At 55.1% G+C, this 19,553-nt stretch overlaps 1 protein-coding gene across 2 annotated transcripts, besides 4 other annotated features; it reads right to left on the bottom strand.

Moving 5' to 3' along the window:
- On the bottom strand, nucleotides 3,215–17,397 carry ACADS (acyl-CoA dehydrogenase short chain). 2 transcript variants are annotated; one of them, NM_000017.4, is made up of 10 exons: nucleotides 17,292–17,397; nucleotides 16,034–16,197; nucleotides 6,088–6,237; nucleotides 5,756–5,867; nucleotides 5,235–5,386; nucleotides 4,773–4,943; nucleotides 4,553–4,690; nucleotides 4,308–4,403; nucleotides 4,027–4,083; nucleotides 3,215–3,927 (listed from the first exon to the last, which is right to left on the bottom strand). In NM_000017.4, exons 1-10 carry the CDS (start codon nucleotides 17,335–17,337, stop codon nucleotides 3,775–3,777), a joined length of 1,239 nt encoding a protein of 412 aa, NP_000008.1. In that variant the 5' UTR covers nucleotides 17,338–17,397; the 3' UTR covers nucleotides 3,215–3,774. The 2 variants fall into 2 exon arrangements, with proteins under 2 accessions (NP_000008.1, NP_001289483.1); NM_001302554.2 differs by lacking the exon at nucleotides 5,235–5,386 and adding an exon at nucleotides 5,035–5,174.
- Nucleotides 3,980–4,685: an enhancer, noted in NCBI's record as "H3K4me1 hESC enhancer chr12:121176341-121177046 (GRCh37/hg19 assembly coordinates)". NCBI's record gives its function as "activates a minimal SCP1, AML or CMV promoter by ChIP-STARR-seq in naive H9 embryonic stem cells {active_cell/tissue: H9 hESC(naive)}" and the evidence as "EXISTENCE:reporter gene assay evidence [ECO:0000049][PMID:30033119]".
- Nucleotides 17,078–17,587: a silencer, noted in NCBI's record as "silent region_4966". NCBI's record gives its function as "represses an Ori minimal core promoter by ATAC-STARR-seq in GM12878 lymphoblastoid cells {active_cell/tissue: GM12878}" and the evidence as "EXISTENCE:reporter gene assay evidence [ECO:0000049][PMID:35858748]".
- Nucleotides 17,078–17,725: a biological region, named in NCBI's record as "H3K27ac hESC enhancer GRCh37_chr12:121163301-121163802".
- Nucleotides 17,224–17,725: an enhancer, noted in NCBI's record as "H3K27ac hESC enhancer chr12:121163301-121163802 (GRCh37/hg19 assembly coordinates)". NCBI's record gives its function as "activates a minimal SCP1, AML or CMV promoter by ChIP-STARR-seq in naive H9 embryonic stem cells {active_cell/tissue: H9 hESC(naive)}" and the evidence as "EXISTENCE:reporter gene assay evidence [ECO:0000049][PMID:30033119]".

Here is a 19,553-nt window from a genome sequence, read left to right as displayed (position 1 = left end):
TCAGAAAACCCCATATTAATAAAATAATACTCTTTGGCCAGGCATGGTGACTCACACCTGTAATCCCAGAACTCTGGGAGGCCAAGGCGGGCAGATCACTTGAGCCCAAGAGTTTGAGACTAGCCTGGGCTGGTCACATGTTTAGTAGAGATGGTGAAACCCCATCTCTACTAAAAATACAAAAAATAGCCAGGTGTGGTGGCGCCTGTAGTCCCATCCACTTGGGAGGCTGAGGTAAGAGGCCCACCTGAGCCTGGGAGGTCAAGGCTGTGGTGAGCTGCGATTATACCACTACACTCCAGCCCAAGCGAGAAGAGACCCTGTCTCAAAACATAATAATACTCTCCTAAATAACTGATAAATCAAAATAGAAAGCACAATGGGCCTCAGAAAACTGAGTAATAAGGAAAATATGACACTAAAATGTATGAGATGAAGCAAAAGCCACACTTAGAAATGTATGAATTCAGGCCAGGCATGGTGGCCCACGCCTGTAATCCCAGAACTTTGGGAGGCCGAGGCGGGCGGATCACCTGAGGTCAGGAGTTCAAGACCAGCCTGGCCAACATGATGAAAGCCCGTCTCTACTAAAAATACAAAAATTAGCCAGGCGTGGTGGCGCATGCCTGTAACCCCAGCTACTCGGGAGGCTGAGGCAGGAGAATCGCTTTATCGCTTGAAACCGGGATGTGGAGGCTGCGGTGAGCCGAGATTGCGCCACTGTACTCCAGCCTGGCAACAGAGCGAGACTCCATCTCCAAAAAAAAAAAAAAAAAGAACCAAAGCATGGAGAACTTGTCCCAGAGGGCTAGAGGGAAGGAAACAGGTGGCCTCTCAGCTACATGCAATGCAGGCCCCTGGACCTTGAGAAGAGCTGACTTCGCAGACACCGTGCCAGCTGGCACAATCCGAGTGGAGTGTGCAGATGTGAAAGTTGACCAGGGTGGGAAACGGTCCTGTTGTTCTGTAAGTGAACGTCCTTGTCCTTAGGAAATCTACACTGAGGAAACTGTATCCAGAGGGGCATGGGCTCTAGGACAGTTCGGGCTCCAGTGGCCCGGGGGCAGAGTCCACATTCAGTTCTAAGTTAGGAGGAGCTTCCACTAACGGGCAGCACCCCGTCAAAGCCAAGGGTTTGTGCCGACTCTCCCTCACCGAAGGACAGACCCCGGACCCACGACGGCACCTCAAAGCCCCCGAGTGCACAGACTGGCTCTTGGGTCGGAGCCTGGGTTGCTTCATCTGAAATGGAGGACCCCAGGCCTCCGAGGCTGCACTTCCTGGAAAGGCTCTTCGTGGCCACCTGAACGAGCCCTGGGCAGGTCTGAGAAGCAGAAACCCCTCCAGGGCTGCCACTCGGCCTGTGCTGACTCCAGCCCTCTGCCCTGCTGGGAGCGGTGTGGCTCAAGTCGGCTACCTTTGACCCTCCAGGGCCCAGACCCTTCTCAGCGGGTAGGGCAGGGGAGCTGAGGGGCCTGAACTCCAGCCAAGACAGCCAGGTCCCCAGCCTGGGATGAATGCTGTTTGGGTTCCTCTCCCCCATCACCTGGAGGAAGGGCCCAAAGACAACCTCAACCCCACGCCGCATCTGCGTCAGGAGCAGCGCTGCCTCGCCGGGCGGGGGCACAGCGCCTCCAAACACCCCCTCCCCACTGTCCCCGGGCTCATGGGGACAGGGAATGACAGGCCTTCATCTGCCCCCAGGTGGAAGGGCTCAAATGCGCTGCTTCTGGAAGCATCCTGGGTCCCCCTCTGCTCTGCTACCTTTGGCTTGCACCTGAGCCCAGGGCAGGGACAGGAGCAGATCAGGAGACCCCGAGAGAGTGTGAGCCAGGAGCCAAGACCCTGCGGCACTTACCTGGAGCCAGGAGGAAAGCCCAGGGACCCAAACTTCTGCAGGCGGCACTTACCTGGAGCCAGGAGGAAAGCCCAGGGACCCAAACTTCTGCAGACTGCGCAGGACGCCACTGACCTCGGGAGCCCAGGAGGACGCGCTTCCCAGAAGCCACAGGTGTGCCTCGTTAGCAGGGAACACACTACCCGTGGGCTCTGCGCACACCCTGCCTGTGGGGTAAATCAGGACCTAAATTCGCTCAAAGAAGCGCACTCCTATTCCCCGGGGCCCTGGACCAGGCCCAGGTCAGGGCGGGGTCAAGGGCAGAGCTGCCCTGCAGAGCAGCAGCTCCAGGCTGGATCCTTCGGCTGCGGGGCACCAGCACCTGGCACAGAAATCCCACTTGGGAGGCCGAGGTGGGAGGATCACTTGAGCCCAGGAGTTCAAGACCAGCCTGGGCAACAAAGCAAGACCCCATCTCTACAAAAAATTTAAAAATTAGCTGGCCATGGTAGTGTGCACCTGTAGTCCCAGTTACCTGGGAGGCCGAGACGGGAGGATCACTTGAGCCTGGGAGGTTGAGGTTCTGATAAGCTGTGGTTGTGCCACTGCACTCCTGCCTGGGTGACAGTGAGATTCTGTCTCTAAAAAAAAATCCATCCCCAACAGGGGCTCAGGGTCCCTGGGCGCCCCTTTGATGACAGCTCCTAAAGTCACCGTCTCCCTCCCGCTTCCCTCCAGAGACCTCCCAGCAATGCCAGTTTGACTCTCTGCCCTGCCTGCCCGGCGGAGGGCTGTCCCCACCTCCTTTGAAATCTTTCTTTGCTCACTGTTTTCTCTTCCAGCTGCTGAGATCGACACTGGCCCAGAGGGTTAAGAGCTTGGACCTTGGCTTCAGGGGCACCTTTGCCCAGAGAAAGCCCTGCAGGCACCAGGACCAGGGCAAGCCCCCGCACTGGCTGGCCAGGGCCGCCCCCGAGCGCGCTAGTGAGCACAATGGCTGCTTCTCGAGGTTCTGTGTTCTCCCACCTGGGGCTCGAGGCCTCCACAGCTTTGCTCCCCGACTCTGGCAATCTGGGGCCTTCCTTCCTCCTGCCTGGAGGCTGGTCCTGCGTAGAGAACCCCTTCTAGCCCACTGGCCCTGCCTGGCCCACCCTCCCTCCCCAGGGGCCACTCCCTGAGGCCTGCAGGACCCAGTTCCTATTCCTGAACTGCCTCCTTGGCCAATCTGGCCTCTGCCGGAACTCAGGAACCTCCCAGGTGGCCAGGCCCCTCCCCAAGACCCCCAACACTCACAGGGTGAGACTGTCAGAGAGCAGGACTCTGTGCAGAGACCACCATCCCTCCCCGGAGCACCCAGGAGAGGGCGAGGACACAGACTGGGGGACAGGTGTGTTTATTACCCACAGTCAGTCACACAGCATGAATCACCACCCCTGCCTTCATCAGACTTTACAAAGGGCTGAGGGGCCTCTGGGCCAGCTCCATGGCCCAGCCCCACCACCTGCCCAACACCAGGACCCCAGGCCTCGTCATCCTGACCCCAGCCCTGCTCCTGACCTCTGACCTCAAGGAAAAGACAGACCCCACCAAGGGCCTGTCGCACTGGGCCTTCATGCCAGGGCACCAGGGCCCGCGGGAGGACAACTGAGGTGTCCCTGAGTGTCGCTCAGCCCCCCCACAACCCCGCCCCCAGGAGGCCAGGGCCACTTAGATGAGGAACTTGAGGCACAGTGGTGAGGAGGCGGAAAGGCCCAGAGGCGGAGCTGCCAATGGTCGGAGGGCCTCATTCCCATGTGATCTGATCTGGGTGGCAGCACTGAGCCCATCTGGGGTCCCCAGGGAGCCCCCGCCGGGCCGCCCAGTCTCTGAGCCGGGGTTGGGGTGGAGGCCCCTGGCTCCCGCGCCTTCCCGCAGTCCTGGGGCAGTCCGCCGCGGGCTCAGCTCCGGTAGCTCCTGAGCAGATGCCCGGCGATCACCAGCCGCTGGATTTCGCTGGTGCCCTCGTAGATCTCAGTGATGCGGGCGTCGCGGTAGTGCCGCTCTGCCGGCATCTCTGTCACGTAGCCCATGCCGCCCAGGATCTGGATGGCCTGAGATGAGAACAGTGGCTCAGGAGGGAGAAGACCCCGGCGTGGGGAAAGCTGGAGAAGGGGCAGCTGGCCCCCTCAGAGCTCACTGTGGACACTCACCTGGTGGCTGATGGCGGTCGCGGCCTCCGAGGCGGCCAGCTTGGCCATGGCTGCCTCCTAAACATGGGGGTACAGTCAGAGCCTTCCCTTGAGGGGACCCCTCCATCCCCTGCTCCCCCACTCCCTCAGCAGGGGAGGCCTGTGGAGCCTCCCCATGGGGCTGTAAACCCCAGGCCCACACCTCTGACCCACGGGGCCAAGGAGCAGAGACCCGCCCCAACCTCTCCCCGTCCCTGGGCCCACCACATTCTGGGCCATGGCTCGGGGACCCCTGTGGGCACCTTGATGAAAGGCTTCTTGTTATCCTTCAGCATGGCAGCGCGCCAGGTCAGCAGCCGGGCACTCTCCAGGGCCAGGGCCATGTCTGCCAACTTGAACTGCAATAGCCCCACCCCACACCACAGGTCAGCAGCTGCCCCTCCAGGGGACAGAAGGGAGGGGGAGGAGGACGGAGAGCAGTCAGGAGGCCACACTCTCCGCCCGCTGTCCAGCCTCTAGGCCCAGCTCCTAAAGCTGCCACCATTACCTGGATGACCTGGAGCTTGGTGAGGGGCGCCCCGAAGGCCATGCGATTCTCAGCGTAGTTCACAGCACAATCGAGGGCGGTCTGGGCAATGCCCAGGGCCTGGGAGGCGATGCCGATGCGGCCCATGTCCAGGGTTTGCTGTGGGGACCGCCCTGGTCAGTGGCCCGCCAGCCGGGGCGCGGGCCTGGCCTCAAGGTGCCACCCCCACTGCCGGGCTCACCATGGCTATCTTGAAGCCCATCCCTGGCTCCCCCAGGATGCTGTCCTTGGGGATGCGACAGTCCTCAAAGATGAGGTTGGCCGTGGATGAGCCCCGGATGCCCAGCTTGTCTTCTTTCTTCCCCAACGTGAGCCCAGGCGTTGGCATGGGGACCAGGAAGGCACTGATGCCCTGAAAGGAGAGGCGGGTGGTTTTCTCAGAGCTGCCCCTCAGCCACACCCTCACACCAGCACACCCAACACCAACCCGGTCCCCTCCCCACCTCCCTCAGAAGCTCAGGCCTTGACACCCTCTGCCGGCTTCTGGGGAAGGTGCAGGCTTCAGTGGCAGCTGAGGAGGGACAGGGACAGCCCACTTGCCCCAGAGCAAAAATAGGTCCAGTCGGGCCAAGGAGAGAAGGCCCTAGAAACAGAAATGACAGCAGCCCAGGATCCGGCTGAACCCCTCTCTGGGTGGGCCCACCTTGTTTTGCAGGGCTCTGTCCGTGCTGGCAAAGACCACGGCAGCCGAAGCCTCCCAGGCATTGGTGATCCAGGCTTTGGTTCCATTCAGAACCCATGAGTCGCCCTCGGCCCGGGCGGTGGTGGACGCAGCTCCTGCATCACTGCCGTTCCCTGCCCACACAGACCCAGGGCTCAGCGCACGCCCCACCCCACACAACCTAAGGGCACCAGCCTCACTCCCTCCACACCCCTGCTGGCAGACACGAAACCCTATGACTCGGGCTCCAAAGATGAGGGTCCCAAAGCTCTCAGTGATGGGACCAGAGGGCGAGGGGGGTGTGCAGGAGCTGGCGTCTTAAACCAGGGGACCCCGAAGGCAATCTTCCTCCCAGCGCCGCGGTGGCAAGAGCGCTCACCCTACCAACCACACGGGGAGCCTCCCCTCTGGCCTCCGAAGCAGTGGGCAGTTGGCCTAGCACCTTCCTCTCCTCCCCTCTGGGCCTGTCACCCTAAGGACAGGTGAGGGGACAGGGCAGGTACCTGGTTCGCTGAGGGCAAAGCAGCCAATTTTGTCACCACTGGTGAAAGGCGTGACCCACGCCTGCTTCTGCTCCTTGGAGCCAAACTTCAAGATGGGCCCCAGGTAGAGAGACTAGGAGGACAGCGGGGAGCGGTCGGAGGCCCCAGGCCCAGGCGCATCCTGCCCACCTGCGGGCTGCACCTCAGGGCCTGTTCTGTCCAGGGCCTACCCAGTAGGACCAAGGCCTGTGACGTCTCCAGAGAGATCAGGGCTGGGAGCCGAGGCCAGAGCCTGCCCGCTCACGGGAGCCTCCCTCCACCCGTGTGTCCCAGGGGCCTGGGAGGGGGCTCACGTTGTTGACACTCATGATGACTCCGGTGGAGGCGCAGCCACGGCTGATCTCCTCCATGGCGATGGCGTAGGCCAGGTAATCGAGGCCAGCACCGCCAAGCTCCTCGGGCACGTCCATGGCCAGAAGCCCAAGCCCGCCCATCTTCTTCACCTGGGCACAGGGAAGGACGGCACGCCATGGGCAGCTGCCGGGGGCGAGCCCACCCTCCCCAAGCCCAAACCCTCCTGCCCCCGAGGCAGTGCCCTGCAGAAACTCAGGCCATGTGACCCCAGCCACGCACAAGGGATCCCCAAGTCCAGAAGCTGAAGACCCAGTCCCACTGAGGTCTATATGATGGCACTTCTCATTCAAGCTGTCCTGCCCCCGCCTCCACGCCTGCTCCCCGCTCCGTCCACAGCCACGGCAGCGAGCAAGCAGAAGGCACAGGATGCTTTCAGGGAACTCAGAGGTAAGGAGCAGGACAGCGTGAGCCACACTGACCTTCGTCCAGCCCCCTCTGCACATCCACACACACGCACCCTCCCCACCACAGGGCCTCTGCACATGCCACCTCCTATCCCTCAGCTGGTTATTGCCCCTCCTCTCCTTCTGATCGCAGCTCAGGCCTCGCTGCTTTGGGCTGCCATCCCCAGCCTCGCTGAGTCAAATCCTTCAGTCCCTCTCCTGCAGCACTTCTGCGGCTGGAATTTCTCAGGGATGAACGTGCTTCTCTGGATTAAGGTCTTTTGCCTTCACCACGAGGGCACAGACTGTGTGTGCTCTTGCTCACTGCTACATGCCCAAGGCCAGTGAGAGAATGAATGAAGGATAAGAGCTTGGGACTCTTAATTCTGGGTAATAATCATATTAAGAGTGGGCCAGGAGCAGTGATCACACCTGTAATCCCAGCACTTTGGGAGACCAAGGTGAGGGGATTGCTTGAGGCCAGGAGTTCGAGACCAGTCTGGGCAACATAGCAAGACCCCATCTCTACCAAAAACAAAATAATAATAATAGTATTATTACTTTCAGGTGAGTAATATGGGAAATGTGGACCACAGAATCTACCTAACTTCAAAAAGGAACAAGTAAAACCACTTATCTCTGGGAGAGCAGGGACAGGGACAGGGACGGGGACAGGGACAGGGACGGGGACAGGGATGGGGACGGGAGGGAACCGTTGCTTTTCACGAGCCCTTTTATACAATCTCATTCCTGCAAACATGTTATTTTATTTTATTTTATTTTATTTTATTTTGTGACAGAGTATTGTTCTGTTGCCCAGGCTGGAGTGCAGTAGTGCAGATCTCGGCTCACTGCAACCTCTTCCTCCCAGGTTCAAGCAATTCTCTGCCTCAGCCTACCGAGTAGCTGAGATTACAGGTGCCCATAATCACGCCCAGCTAATTTTTGTATTTTTAGTAGAGACGGGTTTTCACCATCTTGGCCAGGCTGGTCTTGAACTCCCGACCTCGTGATCCACCCACCTCGGCCTCCCAAAGTGCTGGGATTACAGGTGTGAGCCACCACACCTAGTCTCAACCATGTTCTTATACTACCATGACTTACATAAACTAATAAGAATGTTTGCTAATATATTCTTGTTTTTCTATACTCCTGTGAATATAAAAGTTTTACCTTCCCCGTCCCCAAAACAGTACTCACCTCAAAGGACTGTTCTGAGGCCTGACTGAGATAATACACATGAAAGGCAGAGCCCAGCACCTGGCCCAGGCTGAGGTACTGTTGAACAGCATCTATCATCAAGTGGCTGCCAAGTTGTTTTTTTTTTTTTTTTTTTTTTTTTTAAGGACTGCGCACAGTGACTCACACCTGTAATCCCAGCACTTTGTTTGTTTCTTTTTTCTTTTTTTTTTTTTTTTTTGAAACAGAGTCTCACTTTGTTGCCCAGGCTGGAGTGCAGTGGCACAGTCTCGGCTCACTGCAACCTCCACCTCCTGGGTTCAAGTGATTCTCCTGCCTCAGCCTCCCGAGTAGCTGGGATTACAGGTGCCTGCCACCACACCTGGCTAATTTTTATATTTTTGGTAGAGACCAGGTTTCACCACATTAGCCAGGCTGTTCTCGAACTTCTGACCTGAAGTGATGCGCCTGCCTCAGCCTCCCAAAGAATCTCAGCACTTTGGAAGGCCAAAATGGGTGGATCATTTGAAGCCAGGAGTTCGAGACCAGCCTGGCCAACGTGGTGAAACCATATCTCTACCAAAAATATAAAAACTAGCCAGGCATGGTGGCGGGTGCCTGTAATCCCAGCTACTCGGGAGGCTGAGGCAGGAGAATTGCTTGAACCTGGAAGGAAGAGGTTGCAGTGAACCGAGAGCACGCCACTGCACTCCAGTCTGGGCGACAGAGCGAGAATCTGTCTCAAAAAAAAAAAAAAAATTATTGTTTTTTTAGAGACAGGGTGTCACTGTGTTGCCCAAGCTGGTGTCGAACTCCTGGCTCGAGTGATCCTCTTGCCTCAGCCTCCCTCATGCTGATTAGAGGCACGAGCCACCACACCAAGCCTAGTTCTTACTTTGGCAATAACGTATGGAAAAGAGGGGGCACCTAGGAGCCTGCAGCACTTCTGTGACAACCTGTGTGTCCCTCTGTGAAATTGCTTATTTGATTCTTCCTTGAACTGTTCCCATGGGAAACTCACTTGTAAGACTCTAAGTGCGGGGCGGAGCGTCATCTCCGAGTCTCCCACACGTACCACATGTGGGGCATAAACGTGTGTGCTGAGAGGCTTGAGCTATGACCCCCACAAGTGCACATCAAGCTCTGCGGCCCCCAGGCAGATGCTGTGCTGCAGTCAGAGGGCAGAGAAGCTGGGAAGGAGATGGCCAGTGTGTGGAAGGCAGCATGACAGCAACCGCCCAAGATGTCCCCATCCTAATCCCAGGTCCCAGGAGTATGTTCCCTTCCGTGGCAATAGGGACTTTGCACACGTAAGTGAAGCGTCTGGAGATGTGAGGGTTATTCTGGATGATCAGAGTCACCCAGTGTCATCACAGAGTCTTTGTAAGGCAAAGACAGACACAGACTCAGAGAAGGAGAGGTGACGACGGAAGCAGAGGCAGGAACTCTGGCGGGAAGAATGCAGGCGGCCTCTAGAACTGGGAAAGACAGGAGTGGATTTCCCCAGAGCCTGCAGAGGGAACTCAGTCCTGCCGATGCCTTGATTTAGCCCTGTGGGACCCACACTGGATGCCTGACTCGGGTTGAGTAACTCGTGAACAGCATTTCTCAAGTGGCTGCCATGGTTTGGTTTTGTTTTTTCTATTTTTTTTTTTTTTTTTTGGTAGAGATGGGGTCTTGCTATGTTGCCCAGGCTGGTCTTGAATGGTCAGAGAATATATCTGTATTGCTTTAAGCCACAGGGTTTGTGGTCATTTGTTACAGCAGCAATAGGAAACTCATCCACAGTGACAAATGGGAACTCAGAGCTACCAGGGAGGTGTCATTTTGAGAATTACTAAAAAGAAGATTGTTCTGTGGCCGCCACACACCTGGGGAGGGGGGTCCTGCTCAGAATAGGCACCATTTCAGCAGGCACCATTTCAGCAGGCACCATTTCAGCAGGCACCATTTCAGCAGGCACCATTTCAGCAGGCAGGAACCAACTAGGGAAGGGGAAGTCCAAGTGAGAGAGTGCTTTTCACTAGGAAGAGGACCTGGAGACACAGACCTGCGGCAGCACACACATGGCCTCTGAACAGAACACTTTTCTAGCCCACACTTCAGAGTACTTTGCCAGGCGCAGTGGCTCATGCTTGTATTCCCAGCACTTTGGTAGCTGAGGCAGGTGGATCACCTGAGGTCAGGAGTTCGAGACCAGCCTGGCCAACATGGTAAAACCCCGTCTCTACTAAAAATACAAGGATTCTCCCTCTCCCTCTCCCTCTCCCTCTCCCCCCGGTCTCCCTCTCCCTCTCTTTCCACGGTCTCCCTCTGATGCCGAGCCGAAGCTGGACTGTACTGCCGCCATCTCTGCTCACTGCAACCTCCCTGCCTGATTCTCCTGCCTCAGCCTGCCGAGTGCCTGCGATTGCAGGCGCGCGCCGCCACGCCTGACTGGTTTTCGTATTTTTTTGGTGGAGACGGGGTTTCGCTGTGTTGGCCAGGCTGGTCTCCAGCTCCTAACCAGGAGTGATCTGCCAGCCTTGGCCTCCCGAGGTGCCGGGATTGCAGACGGAGTCTCGTTCACTCAGTGCTCAATGTTGCCCAGGCTGGAGTGCAGTGGCTTGATCTCAGCTCGCTACAACCTCCACCTCCCAGCCGCCTGCCTTGGCCTCCCAAAGTGCCGAGATTGCAGTCTCTGCCCGGCCGCCACCCCGTCTGGGAAATGAGGAGCGTCTCTGCCTGGCCGCCCATCGTCTGGGATGTGAGGAGCCCCTCTGCCCGGCTGCCCAGTCTGGGAAGTGAGGAGCGCCTCTTCCCGGCCGCCATCCCATCTAGGAAGTGAGGAGCGTCTCTGCCCGGCCGCCCATCGTCTGAGATGTGGGGAGCGCCTCTGCCCCACTGCCCCGTCTGGGATGTGAGGAGCGCCTCTGCCCGGCCGCGACCCCGTCTGGGAACTGAGGAGTGTCTCTGCCCGACCGCCACCCCGTCTGGGAGGTGAGGAGTGTCTCTGCCTGCCCGCCCCGAGAAGTGAGGAGCCCCTCCGCCCGGCAGCCACCCCATCTGAGAAGTGAGGAGCCCCTCTGCCTGGCAGCCACCCCGTCTGAGAAGTGAGGAGCCCCTCCGCCCAGCAGACACCCCGTCTGGGAAGTGAGGAGCGTCTCCGCCCGGCAGCCACCCCGTCCGGCAGCCACCCCGTCCGGGAGGGAGGTTGGGGGCAGCCCCCGCCCGGCCAGCCGCCCCGTCCGGGAGGGAGGTGGGGGTCAGCCCCCGCCCGGCCAGCCGCCCCGTCCGGGAGGTGAGGGGCGCCTCTGCCCGGCCGCCCGTACTGGGAAGTGAGGAGCCCCTCTGCCCGGCCACCACCCCGTCTGGGAGGTGTACCCAACAGCTCATTGAGAACAGGCCATGATGACGATGGCAGTTTTGTGGAATAGAAAAGGGGGAAAGGTGGGGAAAAGATTGAGAAATCGGATGGTTGCTGTGTCTGTGTAGAAAGAAGTAGACATGGGAGACTTCATTTCGTTCTGTACTAAGAAAAATTCTTCTGCCTTGGGATGCTGTTGATCTATGACCTTACCCCCAACCCTGTGCTCTCTGAAACATGTGCTGTATCCACTCAGGGTTAAATGGATTAAGGGCGGTGCAAGATGTGCTTTGTTAAACAGATGCTTGAAGGCAGCATGCTCCTTAAGAGTCATCACCACTCCCTAATCTCAAGTACCCAGGGACACAAACACTGCGGAAGGCCGCAGGGTCCTCTGCCTAGGAAAACCAGAGACCTTTGTTCACTTGTTTATCTGCTGACCTTCCCTCCACTATTGTCCTATGACCCTGCCAAATCCCCCTCTGCGAGAAACACCCAAGAATGATCAATAAAAAAAATAAAATAAAATAAAATAAATACAAGAATTAGCCAGGCGTGATGGTGGGCGCCTATAATCCCAGCTACTTGGGAGGCTGAGACAGGAGAATCATTTGTACCCAGGAGGTGGAGGTTGCAGTGAGCCAAGATCGTGCCACTATACTCCAGCCTGGGCAACAGAGTGAGACTCCGCCTCAAAAAAAAAAAAAAAAACTATTTTATTAAGGAACACCTCTGCTGCTGGACAATACTCTACCAAGTGCTAGAAATACGCAGGTCTCCAGCTACTCAGGAGGAGGTTGAGGCAGGAGAATCACTTGAGCCCAGGCGTTCAAATCCAGCCTGGCCAACATGATGATACCCCTGTTTCTAAAAGAAAATTTTTTAATTAAAAAAATTTTAAAAAGAGGGTGTGGTAGCTCAGGCCTGTAATCCCAGCACTTTGGGAGACGGAGGTAGGAGGATCATCTGAGTCCAGGCGTTTGAGACCAGCTTCATCAACATGGCGAGACCCCCATCTCCACAAAAAGTTATAAAAATAAAAATAAATGAGCCAGGCATGGCGGTGCACACCTGTGGTCCCAGCTACTGCAGGAGGTGAGGCATGAGGATCACTTGAGCCCTGAGCCCGGGAGGTCAAGGCTGCAGTGAGCTGTGTTTGTGTCACTGCACTCCAGCCTGGGCGACAGTGAGGCCCTGTCTCAAAAAAACAAAAACAAAAATAAATATGCAGTTGTCCAAGACTCACGGTCAGGCCTAGGCATGAACCTCACCAAAAGCCTTTTTCTCTAGCTTACCAGCAAAACAGAATAAGGCTAAACTAGCTCAAGCCGCCTCACCCTCCAAGCACCTTCAGATCTCCCTGGACAGAGACACACCCTCCTTTTCACCCCGGAACTTGTTGGTATAAAACCCTGGAATAAATGGCACATGAGCCAATCGCTCCATAACTCCATCTCATCCCCAGAAACACAGTGGGAACCCAAATTCCCAGAAAGAGAGTAAAAGGATGAAACTCTCCTAGGTGCGTTCAGTTCCTCATACTCACCTAAAATGCTTGGTCACACGTCCCGACAGGTAGCAGAATGAGGGTGACCCCATATTCCTCTTACAGATGAGGGAATTCACACAGAAAGGGTATGTGGTGTCAGTGGCCAGGTCTAGGCCACCAGGAGGCAAGACAGAACCCCAGCCTCCTCCTCCCTACACAGCGCCGCCTCCCTCTGACTAATGCGACACTTCTCAATGAGCTAGAATCAAAAGTTGTAGGAATTCACAATTCCCACACCCAAAGGACCTCACTAGCATATACCATCGCCCTCAATTTTCCCCCAGCTCCTGTCTTCCCTCCTTTCTCACCATCAGCATTTTCTTTTACAGCATCTACCAGCTGGGCGCGGTGGCTCATGCCTGTAATCCCAGAACTTTGGGAGGCCCAGGCGGGCGGATAACAAAGTCAAGAGTTCGAGACCAGCCTGGCCAACATGGTGAAACCCCGTCTCTACTAAAAAGACAAAAATTAGCCGGGTGTGGTGGTGCGCACCTGTAGTTCCAGCTACTTGGGAGGCTGAGGCAGGAAAATTGCTTGAACCCAGGAGGCAAAGGCTACAGTGAGCCGAGATCGCACCACTGTACTCCAGCCTGGGGACAGAGCGAGACTCCATCACACACACACAAAAATAATTTAAAAAATAAAGCATCTACCTGTGGCTGTGAAAGACATGGCAGTTCCACTCACTCCCACTCTGGTGTTGAGACAGCAAATTTCAAAAGAGAGGAGCACCGCTCTGGGGCAGCACCTAAGAGCACAGCCTTCTCCATCCCATCCCAGAGCCTGGACACAGTCACCTCACCCCATTTTATCAGTGGTGACAGGGGCTGTTTCCCAGGCCTTCTCACTCTGAAATTTATCTCTAGATTTCAGGCAACAAACTGTGGCCAGCTACAGGAACATTCTAGAAAAAAAGTGGGGACAAAAGCAATAACCATGGTAATGTGCACTCGTTAAAGGGCCTCCTGAAAAAGAGACAGGGAGACCAGCACCGAGGGAAGGAAAAAGGGGTGGCAGGAGAGGGAAGAGACGAGACAGTCAAAAAGGAGAAACCCAAAATATAATTAAGCAGTGGCTCACACCTGTAATCCCAGCAGTTTGGGAGGCTGAGGCAGCCAGGTCACCTGAGGTCAGGAGTTCAAGACCAGCCTGGCCAACATGGTGAAACCCCATCTCTACTAAAAATACAAAAATTAGCCAGGCATGGTGGCGGGCACCTGTAGTACCAGCTACCTGGGAGGCTGAGGCAGGATAATCACTTGAACCTGGGAGACAGAGGCTGCAGTGAGCCAAGATCGCACCACTGCACTCCAGCCTGGGGGACAGAGTGAGACTCCATCTCAAAAAAAAAAAAAAAAAGAAAAAAGAAAAAGAGAAGCAGTCAAGGGAAAAAAATGGGTTCGGGTTTGTCCATCGTTTCTGACCTATGTAAATTGATGGTAATTAACTAACAGCAGCCAGGCGCCCGTCCCAGCCCCAATATTTTAGTATTTTCTACAGAGAGGCCTGACCTTCAGAGCTATCTCAAGGGGTGGCCTCCTAGAGCCCCCTGCAATGGTCACTCTTGGTTCCTAGTGTCTGTGACCCAGCAACCCTGACCTGCACCCTGAGAAGAGGCAACAGCACTGATGAGGCTGAGCCTGGTGGTCTCCAGACTCCCAAGAGAAACCGTAAGAAACTGTAAGACCCCTTTCCCAGCAGTGACAGACAAGGCAAGCCTGCAGCACCTGCTGCCTTCATATCTGGGAAACGGTTAGTGGGTCCCTCATATAAAAACAATGTTTTACGTCCCTTTTAAAACTCATTTTTAAGGCCGGGTGTGGTGGCTCACGCCTGTAATCCCAGCACTTTGCGAGGCCGAGGCGGGTGGATTGCCTGAGCTCAGGAGTTTGAGACCAGCCTGGGCAACACGGTGAAACCCCGTCTCTACTAAAATACATAAAATTAGCCGGGTATGGTGGTGTGCGCCTGTAATCCCAGCTACTCGGGAGGCTGAGGCAGGAAACAATTGTTTGAACTCAGAAGGCGGAGGTTGCAGTGAGCCGAGATCGCGCCACTGCACTCCAACCTGGTGACAGAGCAAGACTGTCTCAAAAAATTTTTAAAAATAAAAAATAAATTAAAATTAAAATTAAAAAAAAAAACAGGCAAGGAGAAGAGGCCGGAGAGGTTTGACTTTTCACAAATCATTAATTAAACAACTATCTACTACTGAGTGTTTACACCAGGTGCTGGACATCTTTAGGTCAGCGTGTACGGCAGTAACATCTTCAACGCGTAGCTGCAGACAGACTGAATGCAAATGGAAGAACACAGTGGCACGGGAGGGAGCGCGCTGATGGGAAACTCAGGGGAGAAAACAGTTCAAGCAGGCCGGGCACGGTGGCTCACGCCTGTAATCCCAGCACTTTGGGACGCCAAGGCGGGCAGATCGCCTAAGGTCAGGAGTTTGAGACCAGCCTGCCCAACATGGAGAAACCCCATCTCTACTGAAAGTACAAAAACTAGCTGGGCGTGGTGGTGCCCGCCTGTAATCCCAGCTACTGGGGGCCGAGGCAGGAGAATTGCTTGAACCCAGGAGGCAGAGGGGTGCAGTGCGTTGAGATTGCGCCACTGCCCTCCAGCCTGGGCAACAGAGCGAGAGTCCATTTCAAAAAAAAATAAGTAAATAAAAAAGAAAATAGGTCGAGCAGGCTGCCGCTGATGAGCTCCATGACCTTGGGTATGTTATTTAACTTGTTCACAAGTCTGAGTCCATGGGGTATATAATAATACTACCTTTGGCCGGGCGTGGTGTCTCACACCTGTAATCCCAGCACTTTGGGAGGCCGAGGTGGGCAGATCACCTGAATTCAGGAGTTTGAGACCAGCCTGGCCAACATGGTGAAACGCCGTCTTTACTAAAAATACAAAAGTAGCGGGGCAGAGCAGTGCACGCCTATAATCCCAGCTACTTGGGAGGCTGAGGCAGGAGAATCACTTGAACTCAGGAGGCAGAGGCTGCAGTGAGGCGAGGTCGCACCATTGCACTCCAGCCTGAGCCACAAGAGTGAAACTCCGTCTCAAAAAAATAAATAAGAATAGTACCTTCACCTCACAGGACCGTTGTGAGGAACAGATGAGATAACCCATCTCAAGAACAGTGCCTAGTGCATGCCAAACACCCTAAAGGCACTATTTAGAATGAGCACAGTGGCTGGCACAGTAAGCAACTGACCATCCACCACATATTACTGTTGTCCCAGAAGTTAAGTCCTGGCTACTGGCCACAGGCTGGACAAGGGAAACTTCCAGAGCATTTTCTGGGTTCCAGGCCCTGCTTTGGGGTTCCTCTACCAGAGTCCGAGTGCCGCTGACTGTCACTGCCACCATTCATCCAGTAGCAGAGGGCAGACCACTATCGTGGGCTGCTGAGGTTGCACTCTCACCTGAGCCGCTGGGAAGAGATGTTCCTTATCCACCTGGGCTGCAATGGGAAACAACTCCTTCTCGGCAAAGTCCCGGCATGTCTGGAGCAACATCTGGTGTGTCTCGGGCAGTTCCACAGACTGGTAGATGGTGTGTAACTGCCGCCAGGCCCTAGGACAGAGAGCTGCCGGCAAGGGCAGAAGTGAGTGGAAGGAGGAGGCAGGAGGTCTCCAAGAATCCTAGTGACCCACTAACTCACCAGGGAGGATTTTGCCCTCCAAGGGACATCTGGCAATGTCTGGAGCCAGTTCTAGTTGTCACAACTAGAGCAGGGGAATACTATTGGTACCCAGTGGATAGGGGTCCGGGATCCCTGCTGAACATCCAACAAGGCAGAGGACAGCCCCCACAACAAAGAACTGTCAGCCCAAAATGTCCATGGCGGCCACTGAAAACCCCATACTAACTGAATGCTTAGTACACTCACTAGACATTTCCATACACTACATCCTTCAGTCCTCAGTATAATACCAACAGTAATAAGACCTCAGCTCTGTGACCTTAGGCAAGGGTTTTAAACGTCAGTGAGCCTCCGTTTCTATAACAAGTGGAGGCGAATAGTATTCCGCTCCTCGGAGTGCGAAAGAAAGACTAACTAGCGCTTAACACAGTTCTCAGTAGCGTTCCCCTTGTAATTCAGGCCAGGCAAAGGAAGCCGTGGCTATATGTGTCACGGCTGCTACAACTGGAGACACGTAAGATGGGAAAGGTACTGTATTAACCAGCAAGAACGAGCATTTGTGGAACACCTGTTACACGCCAGGCACGAAGTGCTTTACATACCCTATGATTTAATCCTCCCAACAACTCTGATTTTCTCTGTGGACATTTTACACATGGGCCAACCGAGGCTGAGGAGGGGCTGTCTTGCCCAAGGTCACAGATGCGGGTCTGGTTCAATCCCAGGCCTGGCTCCGGAAGAAGGACGCACCCTGAACCTCTAGTGGGGGTGAAATGAAGGGAGGGAGATATGGGAACTGGGAACTGGGCTGGTGGCTGGGGTCAATCGGGGGGTAGGGGTCTGTGCAGGAACCAGGGACGCCTGAAGGGCCGGGCTGGGTCGGCGCAAGGAGCAGCAGAACTGGGGCAAAGGCCGTGAGCGCTCCCGGAGTGGGGCTCCGCCTGCCAGCGGCTCTGACAGAGCCGGCCGCCAGGACCTCCGCCCGCTGGGCCAGACGCGGGCTGAAGCCCCGCCGTACGGATCCCCAGCGCACTCACCTCTGCGGGCAGGGCCCGAGGCCCGGGCGAGCAGCGCGGCGGCCATGGGCGACAGACACAGTCCCAGGCTTCGCGACCTCCCGCTGCGAGCGCGCTGTTCCGGAGTGCTGGGGGGCGGGACCCGGGACAGAGGCCACGCCCGTAGGGCCTCGGGAGCGGGGCCGAGGTGCGCTCGCGGCCAGGGGGCGGGGCCTCCAGTGGTCCCTCCCAAGGCGAGGAACCGACGCTCGACTGCGCGCGCGGTCGGTCAGCTGGCTGTTCGTGCCCACATTCGTTAATCAAAATGCTAACAAGAGAAAGCTAAGGATAGAGCTTCGCAGAAAGGCCAGAGAGGTCTTTTTAAAGCATAAATAAGATAGCGATCTTCGGGTTAAAACTTTGTTGGCTTTGTCGGCGGGCCCATCCCTCCTAAAATCCAATTCTATGGCTTAAAAAGCCAAGACCTGCCTTGTCTATCAGGGCCCATGCCCACCGTTCCCTGGTTATTGTTGCTTAGCTTTACGAGGCAGCTCTTCTCTAAGACCCTTAGCTGGTTCCTGACTCGGGGCCTCTGTGATCACTGTTCCTTTTGTCTGGAATGCCCCCTCTTCGTTTAGGTCTCATGGATGCCTGCCCTGACCACACCAAGCCGTTTCTCCCCCTCTGGCTCTCTATCTTTCGTTCTGTTTATTCAAGGCACTTTGCATCTGAAATTATCTGCTTCCCCGACTCGCTCCGAGAAGCTCAAGGACCTGTCTTGTGTTGGTGCTCAATATTTAGGCCCCTGGAGTTGGGCTGCAAGGAAAGCTTTCTTTTCCCCAGAGGCTGTGAAGGTGGGTGGAGATGCTACCCCCGTTCCACTTCAGTACTGTGTCTCATTCCCGATTGGGGCAGAACCCAGACACATATTTGACCCCTAGCATCCTCATCAGGACACCTTTGCCCCGCCCAAGAAACTATGCTGATTTTACTTGTCCCATAAGGGTCTTCTCTTGTGCAAGTGTGATTCTGATTCCCATAGCCTCCTGGGCACCACCCACGCCCTCCCAGGCACCCACACATCCCTCCAACTGCCTTTCTTTCCCAGCACTCAGCCAGGCAGGCATCTGTTCCCAGCATTGACCTATTTGCCAAAACTTCTGTCTCTTCCTCTTGGAGGAAAGTGGAAACCTCGGTCACTACTTCCTAGAAGAAAGCCAATCAAAAGATGCAGCAAAGTCCTTAATGTGTTACCTTTCTTTTTAAATAATGCATTTAAAAGAACGCCTCTAAATTCTCAGTACTTTAAAGTCAAATGAATGGCTCCCATTGGCAAATGCTCTAAGGGCTTCCTCACCTTTCCGTCATCCCACCTGGGAACCAGCCCTGGGTGGAAGAAACGATGAAGAAGCAGGAGAAAAGGGAGAAATAAGTGAGTTGTGTTTGTGAGCAAAGGCCAATAATTGCTTCAGGTGCCACAGAGCATCTAAACCAGACTCTTGAGAATTTGTGACTGTAAATATGAACGTTCAAATTTCATTTTAAAAGTATCCAAGTTTTCCAATAGAGACAGAATCAGATAGTGGTTGCAAGAGGCGAAGTGGGGGAAGTCACCTGGCTGCAAACACAAGGAACTCAGGAACTTTCTGAGTGGGTACGATGGAAATGTCCTATATCATGATTGTGATGGGTAATAAAAGTATTCATTTGTCAAAATGCATCAATACTCTTAATTGAGGTAAATTTTACTGTAGTTAAAGTATTTCTTAATAAGCCTACCTTTATGGCCAGCCACAGTGGCTCACACCTGTAATCCCAGAACTTTGGGAGGCCAAGGCGGGTTGATCACCTGAGGTCAGGAGTTCAAGACCAGCCTGGCCAACATGGGGAAACCCTGTCTCTACCAAAAATACAGAATTAGCCGGGCGTGGTGGCATGCACTTGTAATCCCAGCTACTTGGGAGGCTGAGGCAGGACAATCACTTGAACCCGGGAGGCGAAGGGTGCAGTGAGCCACCATCATGCCATCACATCCCAGCCTGGGAAAAAAGAGCGAAACTCCATCTCAAAAAAAAAAACCCTACCTTTAAAACATGCATGTAAACTTTCAATTTACAAAGCCACTCACCCTGGGAAAATATAAAGCAAAAATATTAAGCCTAAAGTCCAGTACAATTCCTCAATCACCCTAGAAGCCAGCTATACTCTAGTTCAACTACTTACAGAAGGGCCACATAATAGCCAAAGTAAGAGAAACCTGGAGCCCCCATTCGCCCCTGCTCCCCTCAGCAACACAACGGGCCC

This window comes from Homo sapiens, chromosome 12, assembly GCF_000001405.40.
Source record: "Homo sapiens chromosome 12, GRCh38.p14 Primary Assembly".
NCBI lineage: Eukaryota > Metazoa > Chordata > Mammalia > Primates > Hominidae > Homo > Homo sapiens.
The sequence above is the reverse complement of the archived record's forward strand: the minus strand, read 5'-3'. Positions and strand labels throughout refer to the sequence as shown.